The sequence below is a fragment of the Homo sapiens genome, chromosome 17, assembly GCF_000001405.40.
Source record: "Homo sapiens chromosome 17, GRCh38.p14 Primary Assembly".
NCBI lineage: Eukaryota > Metazoa > Chordata > Mammalia > Primates > Hominidae > Homo > Homo sapiens.
The window spans coordinates 47,176,714-47,197,530 of record NC_000017.11 but is presented as its reverse complement, the minus strand read 5'-3'; the positions used below and the strand labels follow the sequence as shown (position 1 = coordinate 47,197,530).

The 20,817-nt window shown below is 40.8% G+C and overlaps 2 protein-coding genes across 19 annotated transcripts in view, besides 3 other annotated features; one reads left to right on the top strand and one right to left on the bottom strand.

Moving 5' to 3' along the window:
• Nucleotides 1-8,098, bottom strand: part of MYL4 (myosin light chain 4) — a 38,218-nt gene extending 30,120 nt beyond the window's left edge. Inside the window, exon 1 of the mRNA XM_047436131.1 lies at nt 8,060-8,098. The gene's annotated coding sequence lies outside the window, so the exon portion shown is untranslated. The remainder of the gene's footprint in view (nt 1-8,059) is intronic.
• Nucleotides 8,032-8,628: an enhancer, noted in NCBI's record as "H3K27ac hESC enhancer chr17:45266269-45266865 (GRCh37/hg19 assembly coordinates)". NCBI's record gives its function as "activates a minimal SCP1, AML or CMV promoter by ChIP-STARR-seq in primed H9 embryonic stem cells {active_cell/tissue: H9 hESC(primed)}" and the evidence as "EXISTENCE:reporter gene assay evidence [ECO:0000049][PMID:30033119]".
• Nucleotides 8,236-20,817, top strand: part of CDC27 (cell division cycle 27) — a 71,593-nt gene continuing 59,011 nt past the window's right edge. For 17 of the 18 annotated variants that reach the window (NR_148340.2, XM_017025485.3, NM_001353050.2 and 14 more), the window contains exons 1-2: nt 8,236-8,385; nt 15,894-15,969. Coding sequence is in view for 16 of the 18 variants with exons in the window: in NM_001353047.2 (NP_001339976.1) it covers nt 8,359-8,385; nt 15,894-15,969 (103 nt within the window). In the remaining 2 variants the exon portion in view is untranslated. Of the gene's footprint in view, nt 8,386-8,648; nt 8,786-15,893; nt 15,970-20,817 lie in introns of those variants that run through there. The other variant, XM_011525549.3, reaches the window with a different exon arrangement.
• Nucleotides 8,312-8,501: an enhancer, noted in NCBI's record as "active region_12299". NCBI's record gives its function as "activates an Ori minimal core promoter by ATAC-STARR-seq in GM12878 lymphoblastoid cells {active_cell/tissue: GM12878}" and the evidence as "EXISTENCE:reporter gene assay evidence [ECO:0000049][PMID:35858748]".
• Nucleotides 8,662-8,711: a silencer, noted in NCBI's record as "silent region_8622". NCBI's record gives its function as "represses an Ori minimal core promoter by ATAC-STARR-seq in GM12878 lymphoblastoid cells {active_cell/tissue: GM12878}" and the evidence as "EXISTENCE:reporter gene assay evidence [ECO:0000049][PMID:35858748]".

Here is a 20,817-nt window from a genome sequence, read left to right as displayed (position 1 = left end):
CTTTTGAGTCAGCCCTAGGCGCCCTAGTCATACGCCATTTAGCACATCTCGGAGCTCATCTCAATCAAGATGCATTTTCTGAATAGTCTCAATACTTCAGATACTGCCTTGACTTTAAATCCCTTAAGGATTTGGCCGGGTGCGGTGGCTCATGCCTGTAATCTCAGCACTTTGGGAGGCCAAGGCTGGCAGATCACGAAGTCAGGAGATCGAGACCATCCTGGCTAACACGGTGAAACCCTATCTCTACTCAAAATACAAAAAATTAGCCAGGCGTGGTGGCGGGCGCCTATAGTCCCAGCTACTCGGGAGGCTGAAGCAGGAGAATGACATGAACCCGGGAGGTGGAGCTTGCAGTGAGCCGAGATAGCGCCACTGCACTCCAGCCTGGGCGACAGTGCGAGACTCTGTCTCAAAAAAAAAAAAAAAAAAAAAAAACCCTTTAAGGATTTATGTGCAAGACCAGCATGTTCTCTGGGCCCAGAAAGGGGGAGTCAAAAAAAAAGCATCATGTTTAGATCAGTGAGATGAAATTAAGTCATCAAGTCATTCAATCATCAGATATTTCAAAAATATTTATATATTTACAATATTTTAACGAAACAAGAGCGAAATATTATAATATTTTAGCAAAACAACAACAACAAAAAATATTTATATATTTTATAATATTTGTGCAGGGCACTGAACTAGGTGATGGGGACATAATGTTCAAACCAAGGTCCCTGCCTTCAATGCAGCTTATATTAAACAAATACGATTAAAATTACCATACATACTATGAAAGAAAAGAACAAAAATGGCATGAGAGAGAATAACAGGCTGGAGCTAAGAATTTAAATTAGGTAGGTCTAGGAATATTCTGAGGATGTGATACTGAAGCTGAGGCTTGAAGAATAAATAGAATTTCACTGGTCAAAGAGTAAGGGAAATGTATTTCAGGAAGAAAGAATAATATGTAGAAAGACTTCCACTTTAATCACTCAGTCAATATATTTCTTAAGAATTTTCTACATATGTGGTGTTTTTCAAAGAACAATATACAGAAATATAAGACTTGGCCCTTGCATTAGGGAGACAAGACATAAACAGAATAATCAATTATATAAGTCTACCTGGGCTTGCCATAACAACATACCACACACCGGGTGGCTTGAACATTAGAGATTTATTTTCTCATGGTTCTGGAGGCTAGAGGTCCATGATCAAAGTGCTGGCAAAACAGATTCTGGTGAGGGCTCTCTTCCTAGATGTTGGCCTTTTCCCTGTGTCCTCCTATGACCCTTCTTTGGTGAATGCCCACAGAGAGATCAAACTTTCCTGTGCATCTTTTTATAAGGACACTAATTCTGTCGGATCAGGGCCCCATCTTTATGATATCATTTAACTTTAATCACTTTCTTAGAGACCCCATGTCCAAATACAGCCACACTAGGGGTTAGCTTCAACATATGAATTTTGAGGAGATGCAACCAGTCTATAACATCAATCAACAAACAAAAATAATACTAGGAACACAGTGAGTTTATTCTATTCATTCATTAAACAAATAATACTAAGTTCCCATTAGATGCCAGATACTGTACTAAGTGTTGAGAATACACAGGGAACAAGGCAGACAGGGCTTCTGCCCTCATGGAGCTTATAGACTAGACCAGAAGTAGACAATTAAACAGATAATTAATTACAGCAAAGAGTGATGGGAGTAATGACAAGTCTGGTAGCACTAGAGTAACAGCAGGGAGAGCCAAGCTATCCCAGAGGAGCAGAAAAGGCCTGGAAGAAGTATATTTGGAGGATAAGCAGAGCTAGCCAGATGAAGAATAGAATTAAGATGAAGAGTGGAATTAAGAGGGTTCTGGGGAGAGTGCAGTACATGCAAAGCCTGTGAGGCAAGAGAGTGGGTGATTTTGGGAGGCCATGGCAGGCGGATCACCTGAGATCAGGAGTTGGAGACCAGCCTGGCCAACATGGTAAAACCCAGTCTCTACTAAAAATACTTGGCTGGGCACGGTGGCTCACACCTGTAATTCCAACACTTTGGGAGGCCAAGGCGGGCAGATCACCTGAAGTCGGGAGTTCGAGGCCAGCCTGACCAACATGGAGACACCCCGTCTCTACTAAAAATACAAAATTAGCTGGGCATGGTGGTCTATGCCTGTAATCCCAGCTACTTGGGAGGCTGAGGCAGGAGAATCGCTTGAACCTGGGAGGCAGAGGTTGCGGTGAGCCAAGATCATGCCATTGCACTCCAGCCTGGGCAACAAGAGCAAAACCCCGTCTCAAAAAAAAAAAAAAAAATTAGCCCACTGTGGTGGCATGCACCTGTAATCCCAGCTACTTACTTAGGAGCCTGAGGCAGGAGAATTGCTTGAACCCGGGAGGCAGAGTTTGCAGTGAGCCAAGAGTGCACCATTGCACTCCAGCCTGGGTGACAACAGTGAGACTCTGTCTCAAAAAAAAAAAAAAAAAAAAAAAGTTCCATGAAGGGGCTGGGCACCGTGGCTCACGCCTGTAATCCCAGCACTTTGGGAGGCTGAGACGGGTGGACCACTTGAGCTCAGGAGTTCGAGAAGAGCCTGAGCAACATGGCAAAACCCCGTCTCTACAAAGGATACAAAAAATAGCCAGGCGTGGTGGCATGCACCTGTAGTCCCAGCTACTTGGGAAGCTAAGGTGAGAGGATCACTTGAGCCTGGGAGGTTAAGGCTACAGTAAGCTTCCAACCTGGGTGGAACACAGAGACCCTGTCTCAAAAAAAAAAAATTCTATGTAATTGGAAGGTGGACTATAAAGGAGACATGAGTGAGATAAGGCTGAATAAAGAGGCAGCTACTAGACCTGAAGGTAAGTCCTGAATTTGGGGGGTGGGGGAAGACAGGGAGAGGAGTCCTAACATGATCAGACTTATTTTTGGAGGTAGATAAGATACAGGAAGGAAGAAACATGAAGATATATTTAGGAGGTAAAATTGGCAGGTCGTTGCGACTAGATATTGGAGTTGTAGAGTCAAAATATGCCACACTGATATATGCCACTTTGGCATAAGGATTATTTTGAGAATAATATACACTTGAAAAACAGCATATGCAAGAAGAGCACTCTGGCCTTCCTTTTTCTTACTGAAACCAGTAGATAAAACTCCATGTGAAAGATGCCCTCCTTGTACCAGGAGAAAGCCATTCTTATCACCAGAGACAGAGCTGAGGCTGGGAATAAATCTGTACAAACCTTGTTAAACTAACCCTTATCTAATCTTTTGGGCAATGGAAAAGATGGTGATATCTTAAACTGGGATAGGAAATATTTTAAGACAATGAGGGGTTCCATTCCGAACAAAGTACCTATGAGACATCCAGATAAAGGTGTCCTCTTGGCAGTTAGTCATTTGGGCCTGGAGCTCTAAAAAGTAGTCTGGCTGGAGATACAAATTTTTCAAACCATTTGTAGATGAGAAACTGGGGCCACAAGAATGGATAGGGGCGGGGTATGGTGGCTTACGCCTGTAATCCCAGCACTTTGGGAGGCCAAGGTGGGTGGATCACCTAAGGTCAGGAGACCAGCCTGGCCAACATGGCGAAACCCCATCTCTACTAAAAATGCAAAAATTAGCCTGGCATGGTGGCGTGTGCCTGTGGTCCCAGCTACTCGGGAGGCTGAGGCAGGAGAATCGCTTGAACCTGGGAGGTGGAGGTTGCAGCGGGCTGAGATCACACCACTGCACTCCAGCCTGGGTGACAGAGTGAGACTCTGTCTCAAAAGAAAGGAAAGAGAAAGAAAAAGGAAGAAAGAAAGAAAGGAAGGAAGGAAGGAAGGAAAGAAAGAAAGAAAGGATAGTTTTGCCTAAGAAGAATGTGTAGGGTGGGTGAGAAGAAGGCCTAGAACAGGTCCTTGAAGCATGCTTAATATTAAAGGGGCTGGCAGAGGAGCTGCAAAGGAAACCGATTAAAAAACAGAGCAGTAGGCCAGGCGCAGTGGCTCATGCCTGTAATCCCAGCATTTTGGAAGGCTGAGGCAGGCAGATCACTTGAGGTCAAGAGTTCGAGACCAGCCCAGCCAACATGGCGAAACTCCGTCTCTACTGAAAATACAAAAATTAGCTGGGTGTGGTGGCGCACACCTGTAAATTCAGCTACTCAGGGGGCTGAGGCAGGAGAATCGCTTGAACCCAGGAGACGGAGGCTGCAGTGAGCCGAGATAGCGCCATTGCACTCCAGCCTGGGTGACAGAGCGAGACTCTCTCAAACAAACAAACAAACAAAAACAGAGCAGTAGGAGGAAAGCTAGGAGATGGTGTCATTAGAGAAGCCAAAAGAAGAGGATGATTTGACCAAAGAGTAAACATGGTGAGGGTGGGGTGGGGGTGGTGGGGTGCAAGGTCAGGTAAGGAGGCCATAAAACCGCACGCAACAGGGACAAAATGAAGGGTACAGACAAGGAGGACTGAAAGACTTCAGGAGAGTACACTTACTCTGGGCTATGTTTCAGTGGGACCTACATTTTGCTACTGATATCACGTCTAGCTTTTTGAATAGTTCCCTAAATGCCAGCCTCCAAATCTGACTGAATATGAAATAGACCAAGAAGCAGGCTTAGGAGAAAAAATAATTTTCCAATTCCATTTTTGGAATAATGCTGTTGTAACCCAACTCCACTCACTAGCCAAACATATTGGATAACGGATGACAGCAGGATGCCCAAGTGGTTGATGAATAGCGAGTTTAAGTAGGTCAATTAGGAGCAGAGAAGGAAGTAAAAACACTCCAAAATACCCCATCAAAGTACTTCAAACAATGTGGCTTTGCTGTGGATGAGTAGAAACCACAACAGATGTATTAGCCTGGTCAACAACAATCAGAAAGGAGATGCTTTTTTTTTTTTGAGACACAGTCTTGCACTGTCACCCAGGCTGGAGTGCAGTGGCCCGATCTCAGCTCACCGCAAGCTCCGCCTCCCAGATTCACGCCATTCTCCTGCCTCAGCCTCCCCAGCAGCTGGGGACCACAGGTGCCCACCACCACGCCCGGCCAATTTTTTGTATTTTTAGTAGAGATGGGGTTTCACTGTGTTAGCCAGGATGGTCTCGATCTCCTGACCTTGTGATCTGCCCGCCTTGGCCTCCTAAAGTGCTGGGATTACAGGCGTGAGCCAACGCGCCTGGCCTTTTTTTTTTTTTGAGACGGAGTTTTGCTCTTGTTGCCCAGGCTGGAGAACAATGGCGCAATCTCAGCTCACCGCAACCTCCACCTCCCAGGTTCAAGCGATTCTCCTGCCTCAGCCTCCCAAGTAGCTGGGATTACAGGCATGTGCCACCACGCCCAGCTAATTTGGTATTTTTAGTAGAGACAGGTTTTCTCCATGTTGGTCAGGCTGGTCTGGAACGCCTGACCTCAGGTGATCCGTCTGCATTGGCCTCCCAAAGTGTTGGGATTACAGGCGTGAGCCACCTCACCCAGCCAGGAAATGCTCTTTTTTAGGTTAAAAAAAGAAAAAAGGCTTTAGGCAAATTCTAAGCCTATAAGCCAGAGTGCCAAGCATCAGAGGCTCTTTAAATGCTGACTCTAGATCCATATTTTCACAAAGTATCATCTTTATGTATCCTCTGTGGTAAGGTCCTATATTTAGGTTTACAAAACTCTGCTGCACACATACAAGACTTGGGTTGGCAGCATGTTGTGTGAAAAAGAGCTGAGTCCGTAAATGACCACACAAGTTTAGCATGAGCAAACAGTGTCATGTGACTGCTAAAAAATGTAAATACAGGCTGGGCACAGTGGCTCACACCTGTAATCCCAGCACTTTGGGAGGCCGAGATGGGTGGATCATGAGATCAGGAGTTTGAGACCAGCCTGGCCAACATGGTGAAACCCCGTCTCTACTAAAAATACAAAAATTAACCGGGCGTGGTGGTGCGCACCTGCAATCCCAGCTACTCGGGACGTTGAGACAGGAGAATTGCTTGAACCCCGGAGGCGGAGGACGCAGTCAGCCGAGATTGCGCCATTACACTCCAGCTCTGGGCAACAGAGCAAGACTCAGTCTCGGAAAAAAAAAATGTAAATACAACTGTAGTCCACTTTAATAGACGTGTCCAGATAATAATAGTCCAACTGCATTCTGAATTATTCAGAATAAATCTGGAGTACTGTGTTCAGTTGAAAGGGTCACATTTTAAGAGTGATAGCTCTTACTTATCCCTTTCTTTCCATTCCCAATCTTAGATACTCTCATCTCATATCTAGCGTGGTAGATTGTTTCCAAAGATGACCCAAAAACTCCTCCCATGGCACACGCCCTTTGTGGTGTTACTTTGCCACTCTTCCCATTAAGAAGTAGACTATTCCTCCTGGTGAATCCAGGGTGGCTCTGAGTCTTACTCTGACCAACAAGAAGTGATGCTCACAGGCCTAGGCCTAAGGGACCTCACAGCTTCTATTTTTGCGCACTTTGTTGTCAACCACCAAGTCAAGAAGCTGGAGCTAAACTACTGACTCATAAGAGGCCAGTGTGAAAAGAGAGGTCATGCAGAGAAGAAATGAAGGACCCAGCCAATAGCTACCACTGACACCCTAGACATGTGAGTGAAGCCATCTTGAATCTTTCAGCCCTAGCCAAGCCAGTGCTGGTGATGTTCTTCTATATCTGTGTGACTGTCCAATATGGCAGTCACTAGCCACATACAGGGCTACTGAATCCTTGGAATGTGGCTAGGGCATCTGAAGAACTTCATTTTTAATTTCATTTTAACTTAAACTTTAAATAGCTAATGGCTACTTTCCAGGCCAGTGTAAAAGTCTGTTACCACTCAAGTCATCCAGCATAATCCCGCTAAAGCAACTGGGCACAGGGCAGCCAAAAATCATCTTAGCACCTGCCCTTTAGGGGCTATAAGTATATATACAGTGACAAGACAAGGCGGTGGAGAAGGATGCAGTGTAGCTCTGTCAGCCTTGTTTTTAAAAATGAAAGAAAAAATATCTCCCTCTAACATCACCCAAAGGGAAATTTCCAAGCAATGGAATATATCATGATTCTCACATCTAGCCTAGAGAGCTCCTGACTAGAAAAGTAACTTTCAAAAACTGTTTCCTCATCTGCTGAAAAACAAAATTTAAACAGTCCCCTGGTTCACTCTTTTTGGGGGGAGAAGGGGAGCAGAAAGGAAATATGAGAGAGTCTACATTGCATGCTAGACACGGCCACATTTATAATACATCGAATTCTCTTAATCCTTTTTTTTCAAACTAAGCGAACATAAGTTCAGAGAGGTAATTTGCCAAGGACCTATGACTAGTTAGTGCTAAAGATAAAATTCAAAACCAGGCCTCTGAATTTCCGACCCCCTACTCTTCCCACCACAGCGGAATGCCTCACCTATCAAAAATAAAAATTTCTAATGGCCTATTGAGCTTTTCCATGATCTCTTCACCTAAGTAACTATTTCCAATTAATGCCTTCTTAGCAGACTGATCCCATTTTTCCTCCCTTCACTTTCCTATACTTCTTTTTCCTCTAATTTTACCCATCCTTCAAACTCCATTTTAAACTTTTTTTTCCTTCCATAGAACTTTCCTTATCTTATCACAATTGCCCTCTCTGAATTTTTATATTACTTATAATAGGCACCATATAATATAGCGTTCTCTGTTACACTGCTTTTCCCTTAAATAGACCTTAATCTCCTTGAAGACAGAAGCTATCCTATGTCTTTGGGGAGTGGCAATCTTTCCAAATTTCTTTAGCTTTCCCCCAGAGCCGTGAGTAGATACTTCTGGAATGGACGAATGATCTAAACTCAATAGACAAATACTTGTTGATTCATTAAAGACAGCCCCAAACTCTGCTGTTTCACCCTTTGCTTCATAATCTACAGCACACCAATTAATCCAAAAGGGCTGAGGGGCTAATCCACACTGCAGCCCCGCCACGTAACGCTACCCGCCCGCGCTGTCACGCCACGCCCAGCCTGCTGGTTGCAGATTTGGCGTAGCCCAACCCTGGGACGGCCGATTGGGCGTGGTGTGCGTGGCTGAAGGCGTGGCTGAGAAGAGAAACCTACGCTTTGGGTCAGACTCGGTAGCTTCCGGTAATCTTCGACAATTTCCGGCAACGGTTTTCTCTCTCGTCGACCAACCTCGGGTATTTCCGACTCCCTTCGGGCTTTTCCGTCTGGTTCCCGCTCGGCTTTCTCCACTTCGGGTATTCCCGTGTCCCGCTCGGAAGCACTCGGCAATCGCTCGGCCTCCCCCATCCCCCGGTAACGGTCGCTGGTGAGTTTAAATGAGCAGGGGCTGGCCGGGCCGGAGCCGCTACAGGGGGGGCCTGAGGCACTGCAGAAAGTGGGCCTGAGCCTCGAGGATGACGGTGCTGCAGGAACCCGTCCAGGTAATGATAACCTTCTTCTCTGGGGCTTGGCTGGCAGCCTCGGTCGGGAAGCAGCAGCGTAGGGCCACTCCGCGGCCTGGTGCGGCCTAGGCCCGGCTGCTTCTCCCGCCTCCCCTGCTGCCGTGTCCTGCCTATCTTTAGTCAGTTCGGAGGCCTTGCCCACAGCCTAAGCCGTGTTACCTCTGGCCCTACATTACTTCACCCTTAGCGTGAGCGGCTTCGGCGAAAATAACCGCCTTTCCCGTCCGAGCCAACGTCCGGCCAGCCTTTCCTGTCAGTCCAGGGGCCTGGCTTGACTGGGGGTGGGAGATGAGGGGCCGAAAATGCACCCCAAGCGCTCTCTTGCCTAAAAGATGATCGAGAAGCACATTTGATCGGAGCTTGTGTGATCTTCGTGACGGTAGGGCAAGTTTACGGAGGTTTTTTTTATTTTGTCTTGTATGAGAGGGTGGAGGGAGCGTAGGATCGGTCTTTTTAATACTAATTTCTATTTTGGTAACAGACTTCCTATCCCACGTTTCCTTTCTCGGTGAATTTCCCACCGGACAATGATGGTTTGAGAAGACAACTCCAAGCCTCAGTGCTGAGGCGCAAGCACCAATACCAGGGGAGGAGGTGGAAAGGGCACATTTGGGTTGTTTTCATCCTCTCTGATGGGGATCAGGAGCATTTTGTTGTGCATGTTTATAAGGCATTCAGGAAATGAAACACAAATAATGGTGTTTCTGTCCATTTCACTGCCTTTACACCAGGGTATGCTTTGACGCACAGTGCTGTGTTGCATTAAAGGAACCCTATTGGATTTTAAGTGTGTGATGCGGTGCCAAGTCATTTTCCCCCCTGACATCTGGAGAAACTGTATCTTTTGTGCCTTGGTAATGGACCAGGTCTGGGAGACTTCATCCCACTATATGATCTTTAACTTGATCAGAATTGACCTCTATCAACTGCTGTCATTGAGTCATGGACTTTATTTTGAAGTTATAAAGCAAACTGATTTTTAGAAATTCCTTCATATTGCCCTTAAAAGGCTTGAGGTATCAAACAGTAAATATTTTAATATATCACTACTTTCATATTTATTTCATTTTTCTAAACAGCATGAAATACTCATTTCTTCTAGTTTGGTTTTTTTCTCCAGCTGTTTACATATAGCAGCTATTAGTGTTTGAATTAATAAAACGTAAGATTATATCTTATGAAATTTACCTGTCTGTAAGTTGTATTAGTTTTTCTAGAGCTATTTCCATCCAAATTCTTTTTACCAGTATAGTTTCTTTTAAGATTTTTTTTTATTCTGGCTGTAGATGAGGTAATTATATATATATAATTTTTTAAGGCCTAACATGAACTTAAATAGATAAGCAGATTACTCAAGTTATTTAATTTCTGTTGCATATTCTTATAATTTTGTTTTAATAGTTAATGATTTTTTTTTTTTTGCCTTCTCTGGCCCCAGAAGTCTTCTAAAGTGATAAACTAGTTGCATTGATAGACTATAACCACCATTTAATAATAATTTCAGACTTTATAAAAGCATGGAAGGCCGGGCGTGGTGGCTTACACCTGAAATCCCAGCACTTTGGGAGGCTGAGGCGGGTGGATCACCTGAGGTCAGGAGTTCGAGACCTGCCTGGCCAACACAGTGAAACCCTGTCTCTACTAAAAATATAAAAAATTAGCCAGGCGTGGTGGTGGGCGCCTGTAATCCCAGCTACTTGGGAGGCTGAGGCAGGAGAATTGCCTGAACCCAGGAGATGGAGTTTGCAGTGAGCCGACATGGTCCCGCTGCACTCCAGCCTGGGCGACAGAGTGAGACTCCATCTCAAAATAAATAAATAAATAAAAAATAAAAGCATGGAAAAGAAAAGGAATATGTAGCCTGTTTCTAGATAGTACCCATCAGGTTTCCTGTTTGTCCTTAAAGTACTCTGAGCAGTAATACACTTTGATATTTTTAAGGCTTAAATGTCAAATTTGCTTCTTTTTCATAGCAGCATTGTCCATTAGATTTTTGAGATAGTGGTAGAAAGTTTTAGGATATGACTAGGTGAAAATTTTGGTTGTATAGTATAAGAAGCCATTCAAGAATGGATTTGGAACAGTGAGAAGAACAAGCAACTTTGGCTACAATGATAAAGATCAATGATCAGGGATAGTGCTGCAAATGGGAAAGAATTAGGAAGAGAATAAAAATAGGACAGATATATAAGATACTGTCTTTATTAAAAAAAAAACTATGATGACAGATTGCGTGTATTTGGAAAGCAATGAGAGTAAGTTGGAAAATTGTTCTTTCTTGGAATGCCTCAGAGTTGATGGTATTACTAGGCATAGGAAAAAGTTCACAGAAAATATGAAGAACTGTTTTCTGCATTTTTTTTTCTTTAAAGTTTTAATGTAGAATGGCCAGTCCGATATACCATATATGCCTAAATTAAAACTCCGTCTCAAATTACTACCTCTCAGAAGAGTATTACTTTATATTTGAGTCCTTACAAAAGTCTCACATATGAGGCAGAATTTCTGTCAGTTCTTTTATTTTTAATGGTAACTATTTGGAAAGACACACTAGCCTAAGTGACTTCAGTGAGAGCTTTTTGAATATTTATAAAAGTCACCTGGTGAAATTGGTTTTTAAAAAAGAAGCAAAGAGATTTTATATAGATTTAGCAATTATTCCTAGGGGTAAGACTTCACAGAAGTGTTGGATGAAGTTGTAAATAAGCCTTTCGAAAATTAATTTAATAAGCAATATAGCAATTGGGTACTATATACATGATACTGTTTTAGAGATCATTAGATGGTGAAGGAGTACTCTTGGCTGGGGATAAAATGTTCAGGGACAGCATCTAACATGGATTCAAAGAGTAACATATTTTGGCTACTCAATGAGAAATTTAGATTTAATGTGCATTGGTAATGAATAACCATTATATGAGCAGAAGAGTTTTTGAGCAGAGGAATTATGTAATAAAAGCACCACTTTGGGAATATTTATCTGGTGCTGTTGGAAAGGGAGGAAGAGACAAGAGTTAGACATACAGACTAGTAGAATAATCCAACTGCATGATCATGTAGACCAGGGCTGCTTAATCTGAGCACTATTGACATTTGGGGCAAGCTAATACTTTGTTGGAAGCTGTGCATTGTAGAATGTTTTGTAGCATCCCTGGCTTCTAACCACTGGATGACCCCTCCATTTGTGACAACCAAAAATACCCTCTAGACATTGCTAAATGTTGGGGCATTAATTGGGAGTAAGAAGGCAAAATTGCCCAGAGTAAGAACCACTGACGTGCATCTAAACTAAATCAGTATCCTAGAAATTCAATTATAATGTATAATATGAAATTTCAACAGTGATTTTTTTCTTTGTATCTTCTTACATTGTCTGAAGCCTTTATTATCCATTTATTTTATGGTTTTTAAAAAAGGGCAGCTGACTGGGCACAGTGGCTCACGCTTGTAATCCCAGCACTTTCAGAGGCTGAGGCAGACAGATCACTTGAGCCAAGGAGTTCAAGACCAACAAATAAAATAAAATAAAGACAGCTTTTTTGACAAAAACAAGAACACAAAATGTATAAAAAATTTAACAAAAACAAGTAAACAAATTTTTTGTAATAAGCTTTCTCTAACAAAAAATTTATAATGATTACAGGCCGGGCGCGGTGCCTCACGCCTGTAATCCCAGCACTTTGGGGGGCTGAGGCAGGCGGATCACGAGGTCAGGAGATCGAGACCATCCTGGCCAACAGGGTGAAACCATTCCTTCTCTACTAAAAATACAAAAAAAATTAGCCGGGCATGGTGGCAGGCACCTGTAGTCCCAGCTACTCAGGAGGCTGAGGCAGGAGAATGGCGTGAACCCAGGAGGTGGAGCTTGCAGTGAGCCGAGATCGCGCCACTGCACTCCAGCCTGGGTGACAGAGTGAGACTCTGTCTCAAAAAAAAAGAGAAAAATTTATAGTGATTACATTTAAGTCTAAGTACAACTTATAGAGGTTTGTTTATATTTTAAATAATATTTTATATTTAAGAATAGCTAGCTGGTAAGGAATTTTGCAACTTTAAGCTGTTGGTTTATTTATCTTTTAAATTAGTGCACCTGGGGACTAACCCATTAATCAGTCAGATTTCTCTTAAACATTTTTTAGGGGAGAGGGAGAGGAGCGTTGTTCTTTTTGGCTTCATAACTTTCTTTTAGCAGCATTTCGTTCATCTGGCTTTAATTTGTAGAACTCTAGCGGTAATGCACTGGGTGTTCTTTTAAGGGAAGGCCCACACCATCAGTTGGGCAGAGGTGCTGATTTTAGCCCTGTTCATCATCAGCTACTAATCTGTAGTGCCTTAGAGAATAATCTGTTCTTCCCCCCAATCCCGGCACAAGAGACACTGTTAGTCAGGAACTTAGAATTGATTGAGCAAAGCGGGATGGAAGCAGTATGTGAGATTCTCGAGATGGCAAGTTTTTTCTGATGCTCTTAAGAACTGGTGATAAGGGAATGATGTTCTGAGCAAAGCTTGATTTTAAGTCAGAAATGGATACAACTCTTGAATATGATACCTTTTTTCCTTCTTTTTTCCCCCCGCCCTTGCCTCTTATTTCTTTAATTTTAAAAGGACAGAAAAAATTTCAAAGCTCTAGGACTTTTTGACTTTAGTATATGTGTGTGAAATTTTCCTAGTGGTCCATAGTAGTAAAATAGCTGGTAAATCATTTGAGTCTTTTGTGGCTTATATATTGCAAAATAAGCAGTTGTAGCAGGTATGCTGGGGAGATGTTATGCAACAGAAACTACATATTTATTGAATTTCTTTATATTAAGAGATTGGCAAGGAAAAGGTTTTCCAAGTGCTTAATGTATGATAGTATACTAGGAGCATTATAAATGGATCATTTCATTTAATCCACAAAACAACTCCAATAAATAAACTCCATTTATCAGATGAAGAGATTGAGGCTGAGAAAAGTTGAGTATTTCCCACAAAGTCCCACTACTGGAAGTGCTGGCACACAAATTTGAGCACGTCTCCAAACATCAAATCTTTGGTATCTTCATTCTACTCACCATTTTCTTTCACTTACAGCAAAATTAAACATGTAGGTTCTTAGGAAATCCCAGATTTCATAAAGGAGTAATTTGGTGGTAATTATTTGCATAATAAAATAATTCTTCTATTTATCACAGAGTTTCTTTCAATAGAGACTCCCAGAGATTCTTTATTATTAGATATACATCTAGGAATACAAAGAAACTTAATGCTAAGACTAACGTACAAGAGTGTCAACAGTGGAAGACTGCTAGAAATTAAAGATCATTTGCTTATTCATTCAACATATAAGCACCTGCTTTAAAAGCACATAATGGATACTGGGAGTATAATAATGAGCAAAAACAGACGTAGCCCCTACCTTGTGGAGTTTGTAATATAGTAAGGAAAACATCACTCAAATACTCTCCTAAATTAATACAGAATTATAGCAGTGGGAAGTATTACAAAGGAAAGGTACTTGGTGCAATTAGAGTGTATAATAATGGTGCCTAATCTCATCTTTTTCCTTGTATCTAGATAGGAATGGTAAAATTAGACATCTTTGAGACTTTATAAAATTTAAGCTATATAAACAAAGGTTAAACAAGAGGCTCTGGAGATCCCAAACTAAGTTCATTACTGTTCTTTCTTGAGGAAATAGAAAGGGCTAAGTCATTTACTACTTTTATTTTTAAAATTATAATTAATATACTCATTGCAGAATTATTAAACATTTACTTGTTTGTTCAACAAAATTTGTTGAGCCTTTACTGTATCTAAGGCATATTAATCACTTAATATAATTTAGATGTACTGGTACAATGTTAGCTAGTGATCAGTAACCAGATTTTACTGGTTTCCGTTGTAACCTTTTTAAATCATTCAACAAATTATAAGCTGGTGTATGTGCTAAAAATAAAAAATAACGCTTGTATCATGATCAGGTGTGAGATATCTCAAAAGTAGTTTATTACTAAAAATGATTTGACATTACCTAGTAAAGATGAACATATGCATATTCAACAACCCAGTAATTTTATTCCTAAATATATATCCTAATTTGGAGAGATTCTTTTTTGTGTTTTTTTGATGGGAGTCTTGCTCCTATTGCACTCCAGCAGCTATTCACAGGTATGATCATAGCCTTGAACTCCTGGACTCAAGCAGTCTTCCCAGCTCAGCCTTCTGAGTCGCTGGGACTAAAGGCTCACACCACCGTGATAGGCTGGAGAGATTCTTAAATATATACCCCAGGAGATGAATCTAAGACTGTTGCAGCATTGTTATAATTGGAAAAACAAAACAAAACAAAAAAACACCCTAGAAATAACCCAAATGTCCACATGCTGTAAAATAGATAAAATACATTTTGGATTTTGATATGTTTATACAATGGAAATATTATTTATTCAGCAATGAAAACAAATGAACTCTAGCTACACACATCAAGAATGAATTTTCAAAACATTGGATTTCAAAAGCAAATCGTAGCAGAATGTATACAATATGATTGTATTTATTTAAAGTTCAAAAACAGGAAAAAGTAAATGTTATACTGCTTAGAGATGATATGTACAAATGTATAAAATTGTGAAGAAAACCAAGAGAAAGGTCAAGAAAATTCAGTGTGGTGGTTTCCTCTTTGGGGCAGGGAGAGGTTTTGGTATCAACAAGGAACACACAGGGAGTTTCAGAGATATTTTATTTCTTAAGCTGGGTGGTGAGTACATGGGCCTAAATGTCTTTGGTTATTGTTACTTAAAATGTCCTTCTATCTCATATATACTTTAGGTTATATGTTTTGTAATTCTAAAAGAGAAAACATATATTCAAAAAATTAAAAGTTATTCCTATGATAACTTTACTCATTTGCATTCCAATATGCTTCCTGGAGTGGATGAGAATTGAGTGGCATTAAAGGTAATAGATAGGGAAGTTTTTGTGGGAGGATGACATACATTTTAATATCTCTGTCATGTATATCACATAAAGTGGTTGAGAACCACTGCTGCTAAAAGTCTGTAGTTTAGTAGGGTTGGCAGTCCTGTTAACAAATAACCATGTTATGAGTGCTCTACTAGAAGAGGTATCTTAAAAAAGAAATGGCTTGACATCAGCCAGGAAAGCTTTATGGGGCAGATGTTATTTAAGCTGGATCTTTAGGGACGAGCAGTTTATAAGGGGAGACTGGTGAGGGGAGCCCACATTGCCCAATGGAGGAAAAGGGTGTACAAAGGCACAGAAGCCTAAAAGTCCATAGAGAGTTGAGTGAGGAAATTCAGATATGTTAGGAGCCATACTGTGAAGAGCCTTGCCCGGCACACTCTGGAGTTTGCTCTGTGGGCATTGGGGTTTTATCACTTAAATTAGGGATATTAATTTCAGTATTTGATGTAAGGCTGTGTGCTAGTAGTTACCTTGAAAGTCTGTATGTATGTATATTTATGTTCTTTTTCCTCCATTTGCAGGCTGCTATATGGCAAGCACTAAACCACTATGCTTACCGAGATGCGGTTTTCCTCGCAGAACGCCTTTATGCAGAAGGTTTGAAATCTATTCATTGCTGTAGAATGATAAATGAATAACATATATGAAATTCCATAACTTTTTATCACTGTAACAAGATTCTAGCTATCATCATCTTGTTGTTTTTCTGATTGACACTAGTTCATAAAATCTTTACTTTTTTTCTGTGTAGTTCCCTTACATACTACTTTTAATAACTATGTAGAATTGATTCAGGTTTATATGCTATGATTTACTTAATCATTTTTCAATCTTTAGGTTTTTTTTTCCCCCAGGGTTTTTGTTGTTTTGGGTTTTTTTTTTTTTTTTTTTTTTTTTTTTTTTTGAAACAGGGTCTCACTCTGTCACCCATGTTGGAGTACAGTGGGACCATCTCAGCTCACTGCAACCTCTACCTCCCAGGCTCAAGCGATCCTCCCACATCAGCCTCCCAAGTAGCTGGGACCGCAGGCACGGACCACCACGCCTGGCTAATTTTTTTTTTTTTTTTGGTAGAGATAGGGTTTTGCTATGTTGCCCAGGCTGGTCTCAAATTCCTGAGCTTAGGTGATCCACCTGCCTTGGCCTCCCAAAGTGCTGGGATTATACTCATGGGCCACCATGCCATGTATTTTTTTTTTTTTTTTTTTTTTTTAAGAAAAGAGTCTGTATTCTATGGTGAAGAACATGGATTTAGACTCTATAGCCTTGGAACAAATCCTAACCTGTCACTTAAATGTACAGTTTTATAACCTTGGACGAGTTACTTTAATATCTGAAAATTCAGATATTTCATCTATAAAATAATCATTGCCCCTTAGAATTAAAAATTCAATGAGATGGTTTATTTAAAGCCCTTAGCACAGCCATCTGGCTTGGTAATCAATGCTTAATAAACACCACTGATAATGTATGTTTTGTTTCTGTCATTATTATAATTCCCTTTCTAAGATGCTGATATAGATCATTGTGTACAGCTTTTTTTTTTTTTTGAGTCATTTCCTTGGGTTATGTACTTTTAAATGGAATTTACAAGTCAAACAGTATGGGTTTAGTAGCTGAGAGTTGTGAGAACAAGGCCTAAACCTCAGGGGCAGGAAATTTCACAAAAGGACAAAGAGCAATGCTTGGAAGTAGTTTTGAGAAGTTAAGTGGAAACCAGCCTTACCTTGACTCTGAGATAGTGGGATGTAAGGTGATTACTGTCCATGTGAGAGAGCTGTCTCCTCGGTGGAGAATGGGAATTCAGTGAGAAAAGTGAGGAAGATCTGGGCAGCAGGAGTTTAAGGTCCCAATGAAAAGATTAGAAAGGTGAGAAGGAATGGAAGGCTTAGAAAGAAGATTATACAATAGATTAATCTACTCCATTCACTTATGCAAAAGTGATGTTTATTGTGAATAATCTATTTAAAAATATTTTCATTGATACCTAGGCAGGCCCCATATTTTGCTGTATTTTTAAAAATTTTTGTTGAGTCAGAATCTCACTCTGTCGCCCAGGCTAGAGTACAGTGGCACAATCATAGCTCACTGCAGCCTTGAACTCCTGGACTGAAGTGATCCTCCTGCCTCAGCCTCCCAAAGAGCTGGAGTTACAGATGTGAGCCACTGTACTCGGCCACTGTCTTCTATTTCTAGTATTTCCTTTTTGTTTTTGTTTATTATTAAAGAATAGGCAGTTTCTAGTTTATTATAGTTAGGCTCTTAAAAATTGTAAATTCATGGTTTAGAATTCAATTAGATTTTCCCATAGAATTGGTGGCAAGATTCCCAGATTAGTCCACATAAAGCTGTTTAATCCACGTTATTTATGTACCTGATACAATGCTTGGCACTTGGAAAGTTGCTCAGTAAATGTTAGTTTCTTTCAATATAGAACCTCACCATTCGGTTTAACCATATTTATATGAGGAAAGATTTTAGAATTAAGTGTAGTAAGAGCAGATACTATCCTGGCTCAGTAATAATAACAATAATTCTATCACTTATTGATTTCTTACTGTATACTAGGTACTCTAAGTATTTAATATTAGTTACTAATTTAATCTTCAATAATCCTATCAAATAGACATTGCTATTGCCATTTTCTGGATGAAGAACTGAGACTAATGTCCACAGGCGGTAACTAGTAATCTGTCTGATTCCGCTTTCCCAAGAGTAGCAATTACCACTTCTCTGATTTGCAACCATAGTAGGCATCACTAATCCATTACAGTACTCATTCCCACTGAACCAACCTCAGAATTCTTGGCAACAGTTTTCTTGGTGGACAATATCAGTTGATATGCTAGATGTAACCTGTTTGCTCAGGGGCCTCCTATGTCACTAGTAGCAGTTTCTATATTTGGAGAAAGACATCCAACAAGGCATGAGGCTAAAGCAGTTGATCAGTAGGATCTTCTGTAAGTCAAATTCTTGAAATAATTTCTCAGTTTCACTAGTTCTTTGTCGCCCATTTGTCTTTCTCTCGAGATTTATAGTCGGCCTGAGACTGTGGGATCAGAAAGAAGGAACAGCAGAATGATATAAGAGAGAATCTGGGAGGCTGAGGTGGGCAGATCACCTGAGGTTGGGAATTTGAGACCAGCCTGACCAACATGGAGAAACCCCATCTCTACTAAAAAATACAAAATTAGCCGGTGTAGTGGCACATGCCTGTAATCCCAGCCACCCAGGAGGCTGAGGCAGGAGAATTGCTTGAACCCGGGAGGCGGAGGTTGCGGTGAGCCGAGATTACACCACTGCACTCCAGCCTGGGCAACAGAGCGAGACTCCGTCTCAAAAAAAAAACGGAAAAAGGAAAGAGAATCTGAATTCAGATACTCATTTGCCATTTGATCTTAAGCCAAAAGTCATTCTGAGCCTTATTTTCCTTATCTTTAAAATAGAAGAGAAATATCTGTTTAACAAGATAGTTTTAAGGACTAAATACAGTAAAATATGTAAAGAGTCTGCTGTAGTTTCTGGCACATAGAAAGTCCTTTACAGGTTCCCTCTCCCCTAACATATCCTAATACAGTGACTTTTCAGGGTTTTTTTTTTTTTTTCTTATTTTTATTTATTTATTTATTTTTGAGATAGCCTGTCACCCAGGTTGGAGTGCAGTCATGTGATCTTTTCTCACTTCAGCCTTGACCTCCCAGGCCCAAACAATCCTCCCACCTCAACCTCCCTACTAGATGAGACTACAGGCACATGCTACCATGCCCAGCTAATTTTTGTATTTTTGAGAACACGAGATCTCACAATGTTGCCCAGGCCAGTCTTAAACTCCTGGTCTCAAGCAGTCCTCCCACCTCCGTCTCCCAAAGTGCTGGGATTACAGACGTGAGCCACTGTGGCCTGGCCAGATTTTTTTTACCCTTATTAGATATGATACACTCTAATATTTTCCATTGAGTGGTTTTGTTGTTGTTGTTTTAACGTAGGCTGATAACCACTAAATTGACATCACAGTCCACTAGTGAGTTGAGATTTGCTGTTTTGGAAAAACTGTCCTAATTTTACCATCTCCCTCCAATAAATTCCCTTCCCCCATTGTAAGCATGTATTTTTCTTTCCCACCACCAATACCTGATCCCCTTGACCAAGGTTTTTCTCTTTTGTTAATTAACTGTTAAGAATGAATAGAAATAAGTGCTATACAACAAATAGAAATAGTGTTAGACTATGAGGAAAAAAATACATTAATGCAACTACTATGATAGCTCTTTGGAGATATGTGTGTGTGTGTGTGTGTGTGTACACACACATATAAAATAAGAGTTATGTTCAGAAAATCAACCAGACATAAGTTTTGTGTGCATTTTTTTCATAAGTAATTGCTACCTATGGAACTCTATGAGACTAAGAGGATTGTAACTAGTGAAAGGAAAAGAAAGAGAAACAGCTGAAAACCTTGTGTCAACATGTATTCCTAGGTTATTTTGAGGGTCCTAGCCCAGAGTTCAAAATTGCTTAAGGTCTACTGTTTTATCTTAAATTAATGTGGGTTTTACATCCCACACTGCAAAATGTTTTTGTTTGTTTGTTTCAGATAGGGTCTCCCTCTGTCACCCAGGCTGCAGTGCAGTGGCCCAATCTCGGCTGACTGCCTCCCAGGTTCAGGCAATTCTCCTGCATCAGCCTCCTGAGTAGCTGGGATTATAAGCGCCTGCGGCCACGCCCACCTAATTTTTGTATTTTTAGTAGAGATGGAGTTTCACCATGTTGGCTAAGCTGGACTCAAACTCCTAGCCTCAAGTGATCTGTCCACCTCGGCCTCCCAAAGTGCTGGGAATACAGGCGGGAGCCACTGTATCCGGTCTTTATTTTTTAATATTAGTACTTTTTAAACATTTTTTTTTAAGTCAAGATCTCCCTATGTTGCCCATGCTGGCCTCAAACACTTGGGCTCAAGCGATCCTCCCAGGTAGCTAGGAATACAGGCATGTGCTGCTGCGCCCTACTTGAATGCATTTTAAATGACCGTAAAATCGTTCACCAATTTTCTACCTGTCTTAGTGATTAGTGGGTAAGATGTATAGATTGCATCGGGTGTATCAATTTTAGTAAATTAGGCTCAGTGGGAGAGAACTGAACCAGAGTAAAACGTTCAGCATCTGTTTCTTTTCTATTAACCAGGATACTGAGAGCCCAAACTCACAGAAATATATGCGTACAAATGGCAACATATAAAAAAAAACTTATTTACCAGATTGTGTTAAGATCAGTATTAAAGAATATCCAGAATTCTACTAAAGATGTGGAATAATGTATCATTTTGAGGCCTTTATTGATCCAAGACTCACCTATTTTCATTGAATTAACTTGGATGTTTCACAGACACATCAAACTCAATATATTCAAATCTAACCTAAGATACCACTAACTGAATTTTCCTTATCT